The sequence below is a fragment of the Homo sapiens genome, chromosome 1, assembly GCF_000001405.40.
Source record: "Homo sapiens chromosome 1, GRCh38.p14 Primary Assembly".
Taxonomy (NCBI): Eukaryota; Metazoa; Chordata; class Mammalia; order Primates; family Hominidae; genus Homo; species Homo sapiens.
Genome location: NC_000001.11, coordinates 8,262,023 through 8,280,275, shown reverse-complemented (window position 1 = coordinate 8,280,275; position 18,253 = coordinate 8,262,023). Strand labels below are relative to the sequence as shown.

General features: G+C 47.8%; 1 long non-coding RNA gene across 1 annotated transcript in view, besides 2 other annotated features; it reads right to left on the bottom strand.

Annotated features, from left to right (window-relative positions):
• Window positions 1-18,253, bottom strand: part of LINC03154 (long intergenic non-protein coding RNA 3154) — a 37,079-nt gene that overhangs the window by 16,174 nt on the left and 2,652 nt on the right. The gene's annotated exons all lie outside the window — the stretch shown is intronic.
• Window positions 3,780-3,839: an enhancer, noted in NCBI's record as "active region_101". NCBI's record gives its function as "activates an Ori minimal core promoter by ATAC-STARR-seq in GM12878 lymphoblastoid cells {active_cell/tissue: GM12878}" and the evidence as "EXISTENCE:reporter gene assay evidence [ECO:0000049][PMID:35858748]".
• Window positions 12,980-13,750: an enhancer, noted in NCBI's record as "OCT4-NANOG-H3K27ac-H3K4me1 hESC enhancer chr1:8326586-8327356 (GRCh37/hg19 assembly coordinates)". NCBI's record gives its function as "activates a minimal SCP1, AML or CMV promoter by ChIP-STARR-seq in naive and primed H9 embryonic stem cells {active_cell/tissue: H9 hESC(naive and primed)}" and the evidence as "EXISTENCE:reporter gene assay evidence [ECO:0000049][PMID:30033119]".

The following is an 18,253-nucleotide window of genomic DNA, read 5'->3' as shown; positions in this document are numbered from 1 at the left end:
CCGCAAATGATCTGCCCACCTCAAACTCCCGAAGTGCTGGGATTACCATGAGCCACCATGCCCAGCCAATAATATATTGTATTCTTAAAAATTGCTAATAGGCCAGGTGAGGTGGCTCATGCCTGTAATCGCAGCACTTTGAGAGGCCGAGGCAGGCAGATCATTTGAAGTCAGAAGTTCGAGACAAGCCTAGCTAACATAGCAAAACCCCGTCTCTACTAAAAATACAAAAAAAGTTAGCCGGGTGTGGTGGCGCATGCCTGTAATCCCAGCTACTTGGGAGGCTGAGGCAGGAGAATTGCTTGAGCCCGGGAGGCGGAGGTTGCAGTGAGCCAAGATCGCGTCACTGCACTCCAGACTGGGCAACACAGCGAGTCCTTGTCTCAAATAAATAAATAAATACATAAATAAAGGGATTGCACCACTGCACTCCAGCCTGGGCGACAGAACAAGACTCCATCTCAAAAAAAAATTGCTAAGAGAATAGATTTTTATTTTATTTTATTTTATTTTTTGAGATGGAATTTCACTCCCATCGTGCAGGCTGGAGTACAGTGGTGTGATCTCAGCTCACTACAGCCTCCACCTCCCAGGTTCAAGTGATTCTCCTTCCTCAGCCTCCTGAGTAGCTGGGATTACAGGCATGTGCCACCAGGCCCAGCTAATTTTTGTATTTTTAGTAGAGACGGAGTTTCACCATGTTGGCCAGGCTGGTCTTGAACTCCTGATCTCAGGTTGTCCTCCCACCTTGACCTCCCAAAATGCTAGGATTACAAGCGTGAGCCACTGCGCCCGGCCAAGAGAGTAGATTTTAAGTGTTCTCACTGCCAAAAAAAAAAAAATGATAAGGGTGTGTGGTAAAAGAAAAAAAAAGGGCCAGGCTCAGTGGCTCATGCCTGTAATCCCAGCACTTTGGGAGGCTGAGGCAGGCAGATCATGAGGTCAGGAGATTGAGACCATCCTGGCCAACACGGTGAAACACTGTCTCTACTAAAAATACAAAAACTTAGCTGGGCGTGGTGGCAGGCACCTGTAGTCCCAGCTACTCAGGAAGCTGAGGCAGGGGAATGGCGTGAACCCAGGAGGCGGAGCTTGCAGTGAGCCAAGATCGCACCACTGCACTCCAGCCTGGGTGACAGAGTGAGACTCCATCTCAGAAAGATGAAGTGATGTGTGATTCTGCTAAGGATCCCAGTTTTAGGGAGGGAGCATGTGATAGATGGAACGTGTGTCATGTACCCAGTTCTTGGCAGGCAAGGAGGGACATTTTAACGGTCAGCTGTATCACGACTGTGTCCCATGGGTGAAGGAGTGGATTTCCAGACCAATATTGGTGCGCTACATCAGAAGACAGAAGGATGAACACTAGGTAAGCAGAAAGAACATCATTCTGGCCGGGCCCGGTGACTCATGCCTGTAATGCCAGCACTTTGGGAGGCTGAGGGAGGCGGATCACCTGAGGTCAGGAGTTCAAGACCAGCCTGGCCAACATGGTGAAATCCCATCTCTACTAAAAATACAAAAATTAGGCGGGTGTGGTGGTGGGCTCTTGTAATCTCAGCTACTTGGGAGGCTGAGGCAGTAGAATTGCTTGAACCCAGGAGGCGGAGGTTGCAGTGAGCCGAGATTGCGCCACTGCACTCCAGCCTGGGCAACAGAGCAAGCCTCCAGCTCAGAAAAAAAACAAAACAGAACATCATTCCAATCTGGGCCCTGCCTGCCCAGCAACCATGCGTTCTGCTTCATACACAAATAATTTCAGAACTGCCCCAAGCAGAACGCAGCTACTATAGATGCAAATGGAAACAGGCTTCCTTATAGACCTCCTTTTTTGCTGTTTTAAAAGAGATAGGGTCTCGCTTTGTCACCCAGGCTGGAGTGCAATGGCGCGATCATACTCATTGCAGCCTTGAACTCCTGAGTGTAAGCGATCCTCCTGCCTCAGCCCCCAAGTAGCTGGGACTACAGGAGCCACTGTCCCCTGCCTTAAAAACTTTATAAGCCTCCAATGCATCCAGTCTCCAGTTCTGGGTCTGGAGGAAAGCCTGTCCTTCCTCTAGTTCTATTACAATCCCATCTCAATATGAGGCAAACCATGGATTAAAAGGTAAATTTGGCCAGGCACGGTGGCTCACGCCTGTAATCCCAGCACTTTGGAGGACTGACGGGGGAAGATGGCTTGAGCCCATGAATTTGAAAGCAGCCTGGGCAACATGGCAAAACCCTATCTCCAGAAAAAGCAAGAAAAAGAAAAAAATTAGCCAGGCAAGGTTAATGTCCACCTGTGGTTCCAGGTACTCAGGAGGCTGAGGTGGGAGAATCACTTGAGTCCAGGAGGCAGAGGTTGCAGTGAGCCGTACATTCCAGCCTAGCTGACAGAGTGAGACCTTTTCTCAAAAAAAAAAAAAAAAAAAAAAAAAAAGGAGTGGGGGCATTGAGCTGGGTAAGGTAGCTCACGCCTGTAATCCCAGCACTTTGGGAGACTGAGAGGGGAGGATCACTTGATCCGAGGAGTTTGAGACCAGACTGCACACCATAGCAAGACCCTCTCTCTACAAAAAAAATAAAAATTAAAATTACCCAGGCACGGTGGCACATGTCTGTGGTCCCCAGCTACTTGGGAGGCTGAGGCAGGAGAATCGCTTGAGCCGAGGCAGGAGAATCGCTTGAGCCCAGGCTGGAGTGCAGTGGTGTGATCCCGGCTCACAGCAACCTCCGCCTCCTGGGTTCAAGCGATTCTCATGCATCGGCCTCAGCCTCCCAAGTAGTTGGGATTACAGGCGCCTACCACCACGCCTGGAAAATTTTTGTATTTTTAGTAGAGATGGGGTTTCACCATGTTGGCTGGGCTGGTCTCGAACATGCCTGTGGTCCCAGCTACTCAGGAGGCTGAGGTGGGAGGGTCACCTGAGTCTAGGAGGTCGAGGCTGCAGTGAGCCAAGATTGCACCACTGCACTCCAGCCTGAATAACAGAGACCTTGTCTCAAAAAACGTTAAAAGAAAAAGAAACAGATGTGTGTGTGTGTGTGCACCTGCATGTGTTCATGTGGTGTGTTTGCACGTGTGTATGTGTGTATGTGTTGGTGTGCATGTGTGTGTATGTGTGTATGTGTTGGTGTGCATGTGTGTGTATATGTGTGTGTACGTGTGTGGTGTGTGTGTATGTGTGGTGTGTGTATGTGTGTGTGGTGTGTGTATGGCGTGGTGTGTGTGTATGTGTATATGTGTTGGTGTGCATGTGTGTGTATGTGTGTACATGTGTATGTATGTTTATGTGTGTTTGTGTTTGTGTGGTGTGTGTGTGGTGTGTATGTGTGTGTGGTGTGTGTGTGGTGTATGTGTGTGGGGGGTGTATGTGTGTGGTGTATGTGTGTGGTGTATGTGTTTGTGTGTGGTGTGTGTGTGTTTGTGTGTGTGTGGTGTGTGTATGTGTATTTCTTTGAATGAGAAATTGGCTCCCATGATTATGGAGCTGACAACTCCCAAGGTCTGCAGGCAGCAAGCTGGAGGCCCAGGAGGGCCGGTGGTGTGGCTGCAGCCGGTGTCTGAAGGCCTGAGAACCAGGAGGGCGGGTGGTGCAGCTGCAGTGTGAAAGCCGGCAGGCTCGAGACCCAGGAAGAGCTGATGTTTCTGTTTGAGTCTGCAGGAAGGAAAAAGACTGAAGTCTCAGCTCAAGACAGTCAGGCAGGAGGAGTTCAACTGATTGGCCGAGGCCCACCCCATGAGGAAGGCCTGAAACTGTGCAAGGGGGAAGCTCCGGGGGGCTCCCACGTTGCAGACAGCCTACGAATTCTAGTGTTCGTCTCATCTAAAACAGCCGCACAGACACACCCAGAGTCACGTTCGACCAAATGGACACATAAAATTAACCATCACAGCATCCTCGAACGCCAGTGCCTCTGGGGGCTGGTGCACGTGGTGAGACCAGTGACTGCCGATGGCGTGAGGCTTGACCTTACAGGCTGAGGACAGAGCCACCGCATCGCAGCCTGGCTGAGCTGAAGCGCCTTCTCTGGCTGTTGGCCCTCTCCAAGCTAGTGGCTTTTGGGGTTACCCAGTAAATTGGCCAGAAAGTGTCATCCAGATGTGGCATCTGTGGCCTCTAAAATCCAGCGACCTCCCAAACACGGGATTCTTTCTTACAGATGGCAGGGGCCAAAAGTACAGTGGTTGGCTCTTCACTTCAGAGGGGGCACCCTGGCATGCCCCAGACCACCAGACCCCCAGAAATTTCACAGACATGAGGCCGGGCACGGTGGCTCATGCCTGTAATCCCAGCACTCCGGGAGGCCGAGGCGGGCGGATCACGAGGTCAGCAGTTCAAGAGCAGCCTGGCCAACATGGTGAAACCCCGTCTCTACTAAAAATACAAAAATTAGCCGGGCATGGCGGCACGTGCCTGTAATCCCAGCTACTCAGGAGGCTGAGGCAAGAGAATCGCTTGAACCTAGGAGGTGGAGGTTGCAGTGAGCCGTGATCGCGCCACTGCCCTGCAGCCTGGGCAAGAGAGTGAGACTCTGTCTCAAAAAAAAAAAAAAAAAAAAAAAAAGAAAGAAAAGAAATTTCACAAACATGAAGACCCCTGAATCCTCATGGGAGTAAATCTTCCACCATCAGACACTCACGTTTCTCACCAAGCTATCTGTGACACCTGATACTTTAGGCGGGGAAATTTTTGGTTACTGCTGTTCACCCCCCACACCACAAATCATCAGTGAGTTCAAGATCAGCACCTTTTTTTTTTTTAAGACAGGGTCTTGGGGCTTGGCGCGGTGGCTCACACCTGTAATCCCAGCACTTTGGGAGGCTGAGGCGGGCGGATCACGAGATCAGGAGATCGAGACCATCCTGGCTAACTCGGTGAAACCTTGTCTCTACTAAAAATACAAAAAATTAGCCGGGCGTGGTGGCGGGCGCCTGTAGTCCCAGCTACCTGGGAGGCTGAGGCAGGAGAATTGCTTGAACCCGGGAGGCAGAGCTTGCAGTGAGCCGAGATCGCGCCACTGCACTCCAGCCTGGGTGACAGAGAGAGACTCTGTCTCAAAAAAAAAGAAGACAGGGTCTCACTCTGTCTCCCAGGCTGAAGTGCAACGGCAGGATCTTGGCACACTGCAGCCTCCACCTCCCAGGCTCAAGTAATCCACCCACCTCAGCTTCCCAAGTAGCTGAGACTACAGGTATGCACCATGCCCAGCTAATTTTTGTATTTTCTGTAGAGAGGGGCTTTCACCATGTTGCCCAGGCTGGTCTCAAACTCCTGGACTCAAGAAATCTGCCCAGCTCAGCCTCCCAAAGCGCTGGGATTACAGGTGTGAGCCACCGTGCCCAGCCTTGATCAGCAGCATTTTGTGACACAGGATATAAGGACTGGATAACCAGGCATTACTTATCAGAAGAGAGAAAATGGACAATTCATTGTGAACAAGAAGAAGACTCAGTGTAGTTATTTTACAGTCACAGATTTTAAATATGTAGGCTTCATGTTCAGGGGCCTTTGGAGAAGCCTGGTGTTTCGTCCCATTGACTTTAGTTAAGGAGGGTAATGAGCTTGGGAACCGACAAGAACGACTGCCTGGGCAACTCTTCCAGGTCCCTGGCGTTTGTTTTCATGTGGTCTATTTCCTGGTGGCAATAACATTAGTTTACCTTGAAAATGAGAGAAGACACTTTTATGGCACGATGTCGCCATGGTGCACTGGAGTCTCACTCACAAAGCTCTGTTCTGTGCACCCCCTTCCTGTGAGGCGCTGGGAAGGCAGGGAAAGGCACTGACTCCAAACAGAAGCAATATTCAATTAGAGAAAAGCGAAAAACCAGATTTATTCCCATCTGGCTTGTTCTCCAGAACACTTCTTTAATCAGAATGCAGAGGGGAATAGCCTGAGAAGAGAAGCGTTTGTGCTGCATTGAGTATTTGTCTGGGCTTTGAGGTTAGAAATTTGGAAACATGAACTCCCATGAAGCTATTCCTACAGTTCAGGCACCTGCAGTTCCCAATTTCTAATGTTTAAGCTCTGGATTTGTTAATATCCCCCCTTCTTGAAATAATCAAGTGTTTATGATCACATGATGAATACTTTCAGTCTTCACAATGAGACTGTTTATACCATAGAAAACAAACACAAAATTTGCTCAAAGGAGAACGGGAAACACAATTTCAAATACCGGCTGTTTTGAAAATGATTGTACTCCCAACATCACAAAGCTGTCAGCCGATGTCCCTTTCCCAAGAGAAACCCAAATTCAGGGACAGTGTCCTCAGCTGTCATTGCCTGGGGCAAGTGACAACTGTCACCTTTGGTTCCTGATTTTATAAAAAGGTTGTCCTGGGAAGGAAGAGTTTTAAGATGGTAGTTTTCACATGACTAGTGACTACCTTTTTTTTTTTTTTTTTTTTTGAGACCAAGTCTTGCTCTGTCACCCAGGCCAGAGTGCAGTGGCGTGATCTTAGCTCACTGAGGACTCAGCCTCCCGAGCTCAGGCAATCCTTCTACCTCAGCCTCCCAACTAGCTGGGACCACAGGTGTGCACCACCACACCCAGCTAATTTTTGTATATTTCGAAGAGATGGGGTTTCACCATGTTGCCCAGGCTGGTCATGAAGATGACTAGTTTTTTTAGAGATTGTAATAAAAACCAATAAATCTGTTAAGTTTCCTACTTAAATCTTTTTCTTTTTAAATTTCCACAGGTAGGATACAAGCTCCTTAAGGAGTCTGAGGAACTCTGGCTTCTAAGATTGTTTATTTCTGAGACAGCAGATAAAGTTTCTGGAAAAAAATATCAAAGAGTATCCAACAGATGTAAATGTTAGGCAGTAGCTAGCAGCAGATAATATTTGTTAAAAGAGGGACATGCCACCTCTTTTTAAAGAATAAAGTGGAAAATCTCTCCCTTCTAACTAGAAATTCTGGCACGTAGACCCTCCCCACTTGGAGGGCAGCATGCTATAATTCTTCCCATTTTTGGCTTGTTTCTCAGGTTGGGGAAAAAGTTAAGGAAGGCCAGGAAGGATAGAAAAGAAGGCCAATGTTCTTTTCTCTGATTAGTTGGGCGCAATTTGAGAATATTCTTTGTAAAAAAGAAAAGCAACTGGTAGATTCAGGAAGTTGCTGGCAAAGTCTGCTCATAGCAACGAATCCCCAAAACCATCCTTGGAACGTGTAACAGAAATACTCTTTAGGGTGGGGTAAATTGATAGAAATTAGTGGGGAAGGCCAGGCACAGTGGCTCATTCCTGTAATCACAGCACTTTGGGAGGCCGAGGCTGGTGGATCACCTGAGGTCAGAAGTTCGAGACACCCTGGACAACATAGTGAAACCCTGTCTCTACTAAAAGTACAAAAATTAGCCGGGTGTGGTGGCGCACACCTGTAGTCCCAGCAACTTGGGAGACTGAGGCTGGAGAATTGCTTGAGCTGAGATTGGGCCACTGCACTCCAGCCTGGGCAACAAAGTGAGAGTCTGTCTCAAAAAAAAAAAAAAAAAAAAATTAGTGGGGAATTTGGAGAAATAATACTATTGTGGTGTTATGTATATAAAACATGTTTTGTACATGTGTTTTATATTTTTATATTTTACATGTGTATGTTATATATGTTTATATGTGTACATATAAGCTTATATGTTTATACATATATACATATATGTATATATAACATATATAATATATATGGCATTGTTGGACCCTGACTTACATATGTATATATAAGTTTTTATATGTATACATACACACACACACACACACACACACACACACACGTTTTGGGGCACAGTTCCTAAATCGTAACTCCCATAGCCCTGGTTACAGTGTTTGTTATTTATAATGTTGGGGGCATCAGGCCTCAGGAGGTGGCCTCGGGAAACAGAATCTCTCAGACCATCTCCTGCCCTCGTTTTCCCTCTAATCTGCCCGCACATCTCACCTTTCTGAATGGGGCTCATAAGACCCTCATCCTAACAGGGTCCTGCCCCATTCCTTTGGGGAATAATGCTGACCTCCCGAGGCTTCCATGGAAACCCAAGAGGACTGGGTTCAGAGAGCTTCTGGGTAGCTGAACTTGTGGAGTGACATGATAAGAGGAATTGCAGAGTAATCTGAGCGCTTTGGGAGGCCGAGGCGGGTGGATCACCTGAGCTCAGGAGTTCGAGACCAGCCTGGCCAACATGGTGAAACCCCATCTCTACTCAAATTACAAAAATTAGTCGGGCGTGGTGGTGGGCACCTGTAGTCCCGGCTACTCGGGAGGCTGAGGCAGGAGAATCACTTGAACCTAGGAGGTGGAGGTTGCAGTGAGCCAAGATCATGCCACTGTACTCCAGCTTGGGTGACAAAGTGAGACTCTGTCTCAAAAGAAAAAAAAAAGAGGGATTGTAGAGGTGACAGGAAAAGGCTCTTTAAAACAAACAAACAAACAAAAACAGGTTCTCACTCTGTCACCCAGTGCAGTAGCAAGATCTCAGCTCACTGCAGCCTCAACCTCCCAGGCTCAAGCGATCCTCCCACCTCAGCCTCCCAAGTAGCTGGGACCACAGGCATGCGTCACCACACCTAGCTAATTTTTGTATTTTCTGTAGAGACAGATTCTTACCATATTACCCAGGCTGGTCTTGAACTCCTGGGCTCAGGGGATCCACCCGCCTTGGCCTCCCAAAGTGCTGGGATTTCAGCCATGAGCTACCATGCCCGGCCAGGAATAGGAGCTTTCAACTTTCTATTTCTGCCTTGCTCTCCAAGTGGCTGCTGTGATTCACAATGAGCCCCACCTCCAGGGGCTGAGTGCTCCGGATCCACCACATCGGGGTCTACTCTTGGCATCTTAGGACCCTGGCTTTTGCACATCATATGTTCCTGGTTTGGTGCCTCGTCGCTGGTCTTTCTCTGATTACCCGGCTCTGTGTGAGGCCAGTTAGAGTGGGCCACTGTGCTGTGTCCTCAGCTTACGGCTGAGTGAAGGGAAGGAAGCCCAGAGAACTTGCTGGGAAACCCATCTGTGTTTGCTTCACTGTATCTTCCCCTCTCCCATTCCAAGAGTCCTCGTCCGGGGAGATGTGTGTTATCTGGAAGTTATCTGGAAGCCAGCCCTCTCCCTGTATTCTGGAAAAGTCTCACCTCTTTGGGAAGATAGAGCTGACTGTCCCTCACTGTGGAGTCCCCCAGACAGGTGAATGGGAGCTTCCAGATGGAAAGCAAACTTGTGTCCCACCCCTGGGAGCACCTTGGGCATCAGCATTCCCATCTGGGCCAAGATTCTAGGATATGGCCAGAGCAATGTGGGCATGAGAAGGGTGCCTGGCATTACCCAGCGTGACCCTCAGACACTGGGGCTTCCCCCAATTCACTCTGGCTAGAGCACTGGCCCGGGATGGGAAGAGCGCACCCAAAATGAGCCACATTAACGTCCTCCACACCTGGCAGGATGGAGGCGTGGGGTCAAGTTTGGTTTAAAAGACATGGGGAAATGAATGCCTCGGTGCACCCGTAGGTGTGGGTAAGACACACTGTAAACAGGTGCTCTCCATGCAGGGTCAAATGTGTGCCTGTCCAGAGGAATAGAATGCCCTGGGCCAGGGTGGGCACTCAACTCAACCCCAAAGGTCAGGGAAGAGTGAAGGAAGAAGTCACCCCCTTCTCGACCCCACCCCCAGCGATGAGGAAGAATCAGATGGGAATGTCACATTAAGAAAATTGGACTTCAGGCCGGGCGCGGTGGCTCACACCTGTAATCCCCACACTTTGGAAGGCCAAGGCGGGTGGATCACCTGAGGTCAGTAGTTCCAGACCAGCTTGGCCAACATGGTGAAACCCCATCTCTACTAAAAATACAAAAATTAGCTGGGCATGGTGGTGGGCACCTGTAATCCCAGCTACTCGGGAGGCTGAGGCAGGAGAATCACTTGAACACAGGAGGCAGAGGTTGCAGTGAGCCAAGATCATGCCACTGCACTCCAGCCTGGGCAACAAGAGAGATATTCTGTCTCAAAAAAAAAAAAAAAAGAAAAAAGAAAAAAAAGAAAATTGGACTTCAGCTTTGGAGTAACAAATGGGAAAATATCAAAGGGTTGTTTTCTTTCTTTTAAGGAATGTGGCATGAGCAGTTTTGCATTCTTGAAAGATTATCCTGGCTGCAGTGTGGACAATGGATAGGAGGACAGCAGACAGGAGGTCACTTGGAGATTTAACAATGACCCGGGTGACAAGAGATGGTGGCCTGGGCAATGGTGGTGGGGATGGCCATGGGGGCACATGTGATATGATTGGGAACAGAACAACCAGAGCCTGATGCTACCCTGGCAGGGAGCGGGGAGGGAACCCAGCAGTGGGTGGGAGGCGGTGCCATGTATGCTCCAGAGAAACATGGGAAGAGCCTGCTTGGGTGGGAAGAGGAGGGTTCTGTTGGGGCACGTTCAGCACAGGAGCCTCTGACTATGGAGACCTAACTGGAAGTGGGGGGACCCAGTCTGAGGCTCGTGAGTGGGACCAGCATGGACAATGCAGGCTTGGGTGTCACCAGGCTTTGTAGACTATAAGTAAAGCCATGGGGGTGGTGACATGACCCAAGAGAGTGAGAGAGCGGGGACAGGGAAACACAGGATTGTTTATGTGGTTTTAAAATATAATGAAGTTCTCTGTTTGAACCGGCTGCATCTGCCTTTTTATTGCCCTTCTCCACACTCTATTTAAATCCTTTTCCCCAGCCTTATCTTACAGAGCATTTCATGTAAAAACAGCCACCACATAAGCTAGTCTCTCTTTTTATTCTCATTAACATCATTACAAGTCTTAGAAAAATCAAGTCATAGGCCAGACATGGTGGCTCACACCTGTAATCCCAGCACTTTGGGAGGCTGAGGTGGGTGGATCACTTGACCCCAGAAGTTTGAGACCAGCCTGGGCAACACGGTGAGGCCCCCGTCTCTACAACCACGCCAGATGTGGTGGCGAGCGCCTGTAGTCCCAGCTACTCCGGGGCTGAGGTGGAAGGATGGCATGAGCCAGACAGGCAGACATTGCAGTGAGCTGAGATCGTGACACTGCATTCCAGCCTGGGTGACAGAGCCAGACCCTGCCTCAAAAAAAAAAAAAAAAAAAAAAAGGAAAAGAAAAATTGAGTCATGAGCTAAAATGTCCACATTCACTGCTGTCATGAATTTCTGTCTACACATTATAGGAATAATGAGACTCTTAGCTCATGATTAGCTTATAAAGTTCCTAATTAAATGGAAATAGGAAAACACATTTATTTATTTATAAACAACAGCCTTTGATAATAAAGCTAGGTACCTTTATGACATGCACTGGCATGATCTTTTTAAACCTAGGCTTACAAGTTACTGCCATAAAGAACTGGGATTGACTGTTTTTACAAACTCTCCAGAATTTACATATTCAAAAGAGGGCTTCCCTCTTCAAGACAGGAGGATTCATCAAATGATTGTGCCACTGAAATGACACAGTTGAAACTCTTTTTTCGGGACAGGATACTCTTGAGGAGGATGAAGGGGGCTGAATTTTGTGATCAGCCATGTCATTTGGGGCAAAACTGATGATTAAAAGAGAAGCCCAAGGCTGGGCGCAGTGGCTCACCCCTGTAATCCCAGCACTTTGGGAGGCAAAGGTGGGCAGATCACCTGAGGTCAGGAGTTCGAGGCCAGCCTGACCAACATGGAGAAACCCCATCTCTACTAAAAATACAAAAAATTAGCCGGGCGTGGTAGTGTGCCCCTGTAATCCCAGCTACTCGGGAGGCTGAGGCAGGAGAATTGCTTGAACCTGGGAGGCGGAGGTTGCAGTGAGCCGAGATCACGTCATTACACTCCAGCCTGGGCAACAAGAGCGAAACTCCATCTCAAAAAAAAAAAAAAAAATTAGCTGGGCATAGTGGCGCCTGTAATACTAGCTACTCAGGAAGCTTAGACAGGAGAATCGCTTGAACCCAGGAGGCTGAGGTTGCAGTGAGCTGAGATCATGCCATTGCACTCCAGCCTGGGCAAGAAGAGTGAAACGCCATCTCAAAAAAAAAAAAAAAAAAAAAAGGGAAACCGAAGTGAAACTGATGCTGTCCCCACCCCTGTCCAGACCTCCTTGGTTCCTTAATGAAGGGCATCACTATCCACTAGCCTGAAAACTGACTTCATAAAAACATCTCTTTATAATTCAAACACACTTTGTTTCCTCTGCTTTCAGCATGATATAGTTTCGCTGTGTCCCCACTCAAACCTCATCTTGAATTGTAGTTCCCATAATCCCCACCTGTCATGGGAGGAACCCAGTGGGAGGTAATTGAGTCCTGGGGTGGTTACCCTCATGCTGTTCTCATGATAGTGAGTTCTCATGAGATCTAATGGTTTTATAAGGGGCTTTTCCTCCCCTTCACTCTGCACTTCTCTTTGCTGCTGCCATGTCAAGAAGTATGTGTTTGCTTCCCCTTCTGCCATGATTGTAAGTTTCCTGAGGTCCTCCCAGCCAAGCTGAACTGTAAGTCAACTAAACCTCTTTCCTTTATAAATTACCCAGTCTCGGGTATGTTCTCTATTAGCAGCATGAGAATGGAGTAATATACAACATAACCATGCCCAATTCACCCCTAGTCAGTTCACTTCAGAACCTCCCACTAGCTCCTTCTCACTGCACCATCTCCCTACAATGAGCTTTCTGGGCTCCCTCCATGCCCGCTCCATCCCGCGGCAGAACCATCCTCTCACAAACCAGGTCCTGCCACTCTCCTGCTGAGCACCCTCCCTGGCTCCCATCACCATTGCCAGCATCCAGACAAGTTCCATGACTTGCCCTTGCCATCTGGTCCGCAGCTCCAGTGGGGCTGGACCTCATAAACTTTCTTTCAGTTCCTTAAACTCGCTAAGGTTTTGCCTTCCCAGAACAGCCTGGGACCCTCTTCCACTGCTGTGAAAATAAGTAATTTAAAATATAGGTGGGATGCAGTGGCTCATACCTGTAATCCCAGCACTTTGGAAGGCCAAGGCAGAAGGATCACTTGAGCCCAGGAGTTTGAGACCAGCCTGGGCAACATGGGGAGACACCACCATCCACCCCCATCTTAAAAAAAAAAAAAAAAAAAAAACTAAGCTGTTGGAATTTTAAAATATTTTCAGCCTTAAGGGAATGTGATTATGGGGCAGTAATCAGGCAACTGTAACCTAGGCATCTGTAACCTTTGTTTCTTTGATTACAGATTAGCCTTCTTCCTTACCTACATTGTTTTGTAAAATGTTGTAAATGACTGAAGAGCGCCAGGGAAGACTCTTCCTCTTAACTGTTGATTTTCATTATAAATTAACTTTCCTCTTTCCTCTGTCAGACAAAAACTTCATGACTATTACATTGTTTAAGATGGAATGTTAATGACACTCTTTTAAATTGGAAAGGAAAAGGAAACAAGCTGTACAGAAAAGAGAACAAACTGTAACTAATTAAATTGTAATTAATAAACAAGACTTGTATAGAACACGTTATAATCGTACTACATTTCTTTGTTTTCTGCCTCTGTGAGCAAGATCTTAACTTTTCACTTTGGAGAACTGACCCCATTTCTTTGGAGTCTGTGTTACCCGAATGGCTATTCTCAGCTTCATGCTTGAATAAACCTTCTCATACTGGGTTCTGATCCTTTTGATTCTTTCAGGTTAATCCCCATTCTTTGTGTGTCTGGCCCCTATTAATTGATATTCTTTTCCTGTGGCTGCCCTAACAAAGAACCACAAGGCCGGGCATGGTGGCTCATGCCTGTAATCCCAGCACTTTCGGAAGCTGAAGTGGGTGGATCACCTGAGGTCAGGAGTTCGAGAGCAGCCAGGCTAACATGGTGAAACCACGTTTCTACTAAAAATACAAAAAATTACCCAGGTGTGGTGGTGTGCCCCTGTAATCCCAGCTACTCAGGAGGCTGAGGCAGGAGAATTGCTTGAACCTGGGAGGCAGAGGTTGCAGTGACCCGAGATCGTGCCATTACACTCCAGCTTGGGCAACAAGAGTGAAACTCCATCTCAAAAAAAAAAAAAAAAAAAAAACCAACAACAAAAAGCACAACACTGAGTGGCTTAAAACAACCTCTGGCTGGGCGTGGTGGCTCACGCTTATAATCCCAGCACTTTGGGAGGCCAGGGTGGGCAGATCATCTGAGGTGGGAAGTTCAAGACCAGCCTGGTCAACATGGTAAAATCCTGTCTCTACTAAAAATACAAAAATTAGCTGGGCATGGTGGTGCACGCCAGTAATCCCAGCTACTTGCAATCTCAGCTCACTGCAACCTCCACCTCCCAGGTTCAAGTGATTCTCCTGCCTCAGCCTCCAAAGTAGCTAGGACTATAGGCATGCGCCAACAGGCCCAGGTAATTTTTGTATTTTTTAATAGACATGGGGTTTCACCATGTTGGCCAGGACGGTCTCGATCTCTTGACCTCGTGATCCACCCGCCTTGGCCTCCCAAAGTGCTGGGATTACAGGCGTGAGCCACCACGCCCAGCCACACACCGTCTTTTTCTAAGGACACAGGACATAGTGGATTGAGGGCCCACCCTACACCCGTGTGACCTCATCTTTATGCCTGCAGTGACTCTATTTCCAAATAACGTCCTATTCACAGGTATGGGAGTTTGGGACTTCAACATATCTTTGGAGGAACACAATTCAAGCCCTACCAGCATCCTTTAGGTCTTAGAGTGTGCAGGCCTTCCTCCAAGTGATAGAACCACCCAGAGTGAGATGTTAGGCTTCAGCTCAGCCTCTGGCTGGTTCCCTAAGCTGCTTCTGTGTGTATTCAGCCAGCTGTCCCTGTGTCTGTCTCTCACCCGAATGTATGCTCCTTGAACGCTGGATCTATGTGCTTCTCTGGAGCCTGGCAAAATACAGGCATGGAGTAGATGTTCAATACATTTATACACACACACACACACACACACACACTTTTCCCCTTTAGAGTCCAGGTGTTATTTTGTTGCCCAAGCTAGTCTCGAACCCCTAGGCTCAAGCAATCCTCCTGTCTCAGCCTCCCAAAGTGCTGGGATTACAGGTGTGAGCCACCATGCCCAGCCCAATATATTTTTATTAATTGAACTTCAAAGTGAACTGCAGGTCGTCCAGGTGCAGTGGCTCAAGACTGTAATTCCAGCACTTTAAGTGGCTGAGATGGGCAGATCACCTGAGGTCAGGAGTTCGAGACCAGCCTGGCCAACATGGCGAAACTCCATCTCTACTAAAAATACAAAAAAAATTAGCTGGGTGTGGTGGCACACAACTGTGGTCCCAGCTACTCGGGAGGCCGAGGCACAAGAATCGCTTGAACCCAGGAGGCGGAGGTTGCAGTGAATCGAGATCACGCTGCTGCACTCCAGCCTGGGTGACAGAGCGAGACTGTCTCAAAACAACAACAACAACAAAAAACAAAACAAACAACAACAACAACAAAACCAAAGTGAATTGCAGGCTATAGAAAGTAGCAGTAGCTGGACAACTGGATGACAGAAAGTAACAAGACTAACTAACCTATGTCCATCTAGCACTTTATCATTTGCCATGTTTTCAAAGCCATTATTTCATGTAATCAACAACCCAGCAAGATAGCCTGGGCAAATTCAAATATCCCCACATTGGGCCAGGCGTGGTGACTCATGCCTGTAATCCCAGCACTTTGGGAGGCCGAGGCAGATGGATCACCTGAGGTTGGGAGTTCAAGACCAGCCTGACCAACGTGGAGAAACCCTATCTCTACTAAAAATACAAAACTAGCTGGGCGTGGTGGCACATGCCTGTAATCCCAGCTACTTGGGAGGCTGAGGCAGGAGAATCACTTGAACCTGGGGGTGGTGGTTGCAGTGAGCCGAGATTGCACCATTGCACTCCAGCCTGGGCGACAGCGTGAGACTCCGCCTTAAAAAATATATATATATATGTGTGTGTGTGTGTGTGTGTGTGTGTGTGTGTCCCCACATTACAGAGAAGGGCACAGAATCCATGCTCGAGACTAATGGAAGAATTAGCTCTAATAATCTGTGCTTTGGACATCTCCACTTAACAAGTTATAATCTTAACTCCACTTAACAAGTGGAGATGTCCAAAACACAGATTATTGGAGCTGAAAGGAATTTTGTGAAACATGCGTCAAATCTCCTCATTTTATAAATGGGAAGACTGGAGGGAGAGGCGTGAAGTGATTCATTTAAGTATCTCAGCTGCTTACCGGTAGAGCTGGTGTGAGATTCTGAGTCCTTTAGTTTCTAATGGAATTCCAAGAAGGTGACTCCAAACATGTTTGGGGAATAGGAGGATGATTGCAGGCAACATGTATCCTCCCAAAATGAGGACATGCAGGGCAACACTTTAGGAATTTATGGCGCCAGACAGCCTGGGTGGGAATCCTGACACCACCCCTTCCAGGCTTGGTGACCTTGAGCAATCTTATAAATTGATTCACACCAATCACAGGGCATTGGTGATTTATGTGATAGCTATCCCAGTTGAACCTACTTTTAAAAAGAGAATACGGCCAGGCGCGGTGGCTTACACCTGTAATCCCAGCACTGTGGGAGGCTGAGGCGGGTGGATCACCTGAGGTCAGGAGTTGGAGACCAGCCTGGCCAACATGGCAACATCCCGTCCCTACTAAAAATACAAAAATTAGCCAGGAGTGGTGGCAGGTGCCTGTAATCCCATCTACTTGGGAGGCTGAGGCAGGAGAATAACTTGAACCCAGGAGATGGAGGTTGCAGTGAGTTGAGATCGTGCCACTACACTCCAGCCTGGGCGACAGAGCGAGACTCTGTCTCAAACAAAAAATAAAAAAGAGACTGCCTAGAAATCTTTAGCCCCAGGTACAAATCTCTGCTGCTGTTGCCTCATATAATGCTTGACACAGAGTCACCACACAGTAAATATTGCATGAACCCAGGTGGGACTTGGGTGCAGTTGGAGTGTGTGTGTGTGTGCGTGTGTGCATGTGTGTGTGTGTGTTGGGCGGTGGGGGAGTCCTTGAAGGAGAGAGAACTTTCAGGAATTCTTTAGTTCATTCCATAGAAATGATACATCACATACTCCCTGCGTGTTCAGGGTTTGCATAGCCCCCCAATCTCATTTCAGAGTGGACAAGTGAAAGCTAGTAAAGTGGAGAAAGTTAGCATTGTAACACAAATTATAATAGGATAACTATGTCCGTTTTCTGGCAGTTAGAGTGAGATATTCTAGTGAAGACACTGGTCAAAAGCCCACAAAATACATCAAGGAGGATTTGGGGGCCTGGAGTGGTGGTTCACACCTGTAGTCCCAGCTATTCTGGAAGCTGAGGTAGGAGGATCACTTGAGCCTGAGAGGTTGATTGTGCCACTACACTCCAGCCTGGGTGACAGAGCCAGACCCTGTCTCAAAAAAAAAAAAAAAAAAAAGAAGATGAAGAAGAAAGAAGAGGAAGAAGAAGAAGGCGAAGGAGAAAAAGAAAGCTAAAAATATTTTCCCACTTTCGTATACACCCTAGGATATACCACATACATTTAATTTTATTTATTTGTTTATTTTTTGAGATGGAGTCTCATTCTTGTTGCCCAGGCTGGAGTGCAATTGCACGATCTCAGCTCACTGCAACCTCTGTCTCCTGGGTTCAAGTGATTGTCCTGCCTCAGCCTCCTGAGATTACAGGTGCCCGCCACCACGCACAGCTAAAGTTTTTTATATTTTTAGTAAAGACGAGGTTTCACCATGTTGTCCAGGCTGATCCTGAACTCCCGACTCCAGAAGATCCGCCCGCCTCGGCCTTCCAAAGTGTTGGGATTACAGGCATGAGCCACTGCACCTGGCCCACACACATTTTAAATTACTATATATCAGGAAACTATTTTAGAGAAAAACCATTAGCATAATCATGGGAATGAAAGGCTGACTTTGGGGTGTAATAAAAGGTTAGGATTTTCTTTACTTTTTTATTTTTTTATTTTTTTGAGACAGAGTTTCGCTCCGTCGCCCAGGCTGGAGTGCAGTGTCGCAATCTCAACTCACTGCAAGCTCCGCCTCCCAGGTTCACGCCATTCTCCTGCCTCAGTCTCCCTAGTAGCTGGGACTACAGGCGCCCGCCACCACGCCCGGCTAATTTTTGTATTTTCAGTAGAAACGGGGTTTCACCGTGTTAGCCAGGATGCTCTCGATCTCCTGACCTCGTGACCTGCCCGCCTTGGCCTCCCAAAGTGCTAGGATTACAGGCGTGAGCCACCACGCCTGCCAGGATTTTCTTTTTTTTAAGCTTTGAAAGA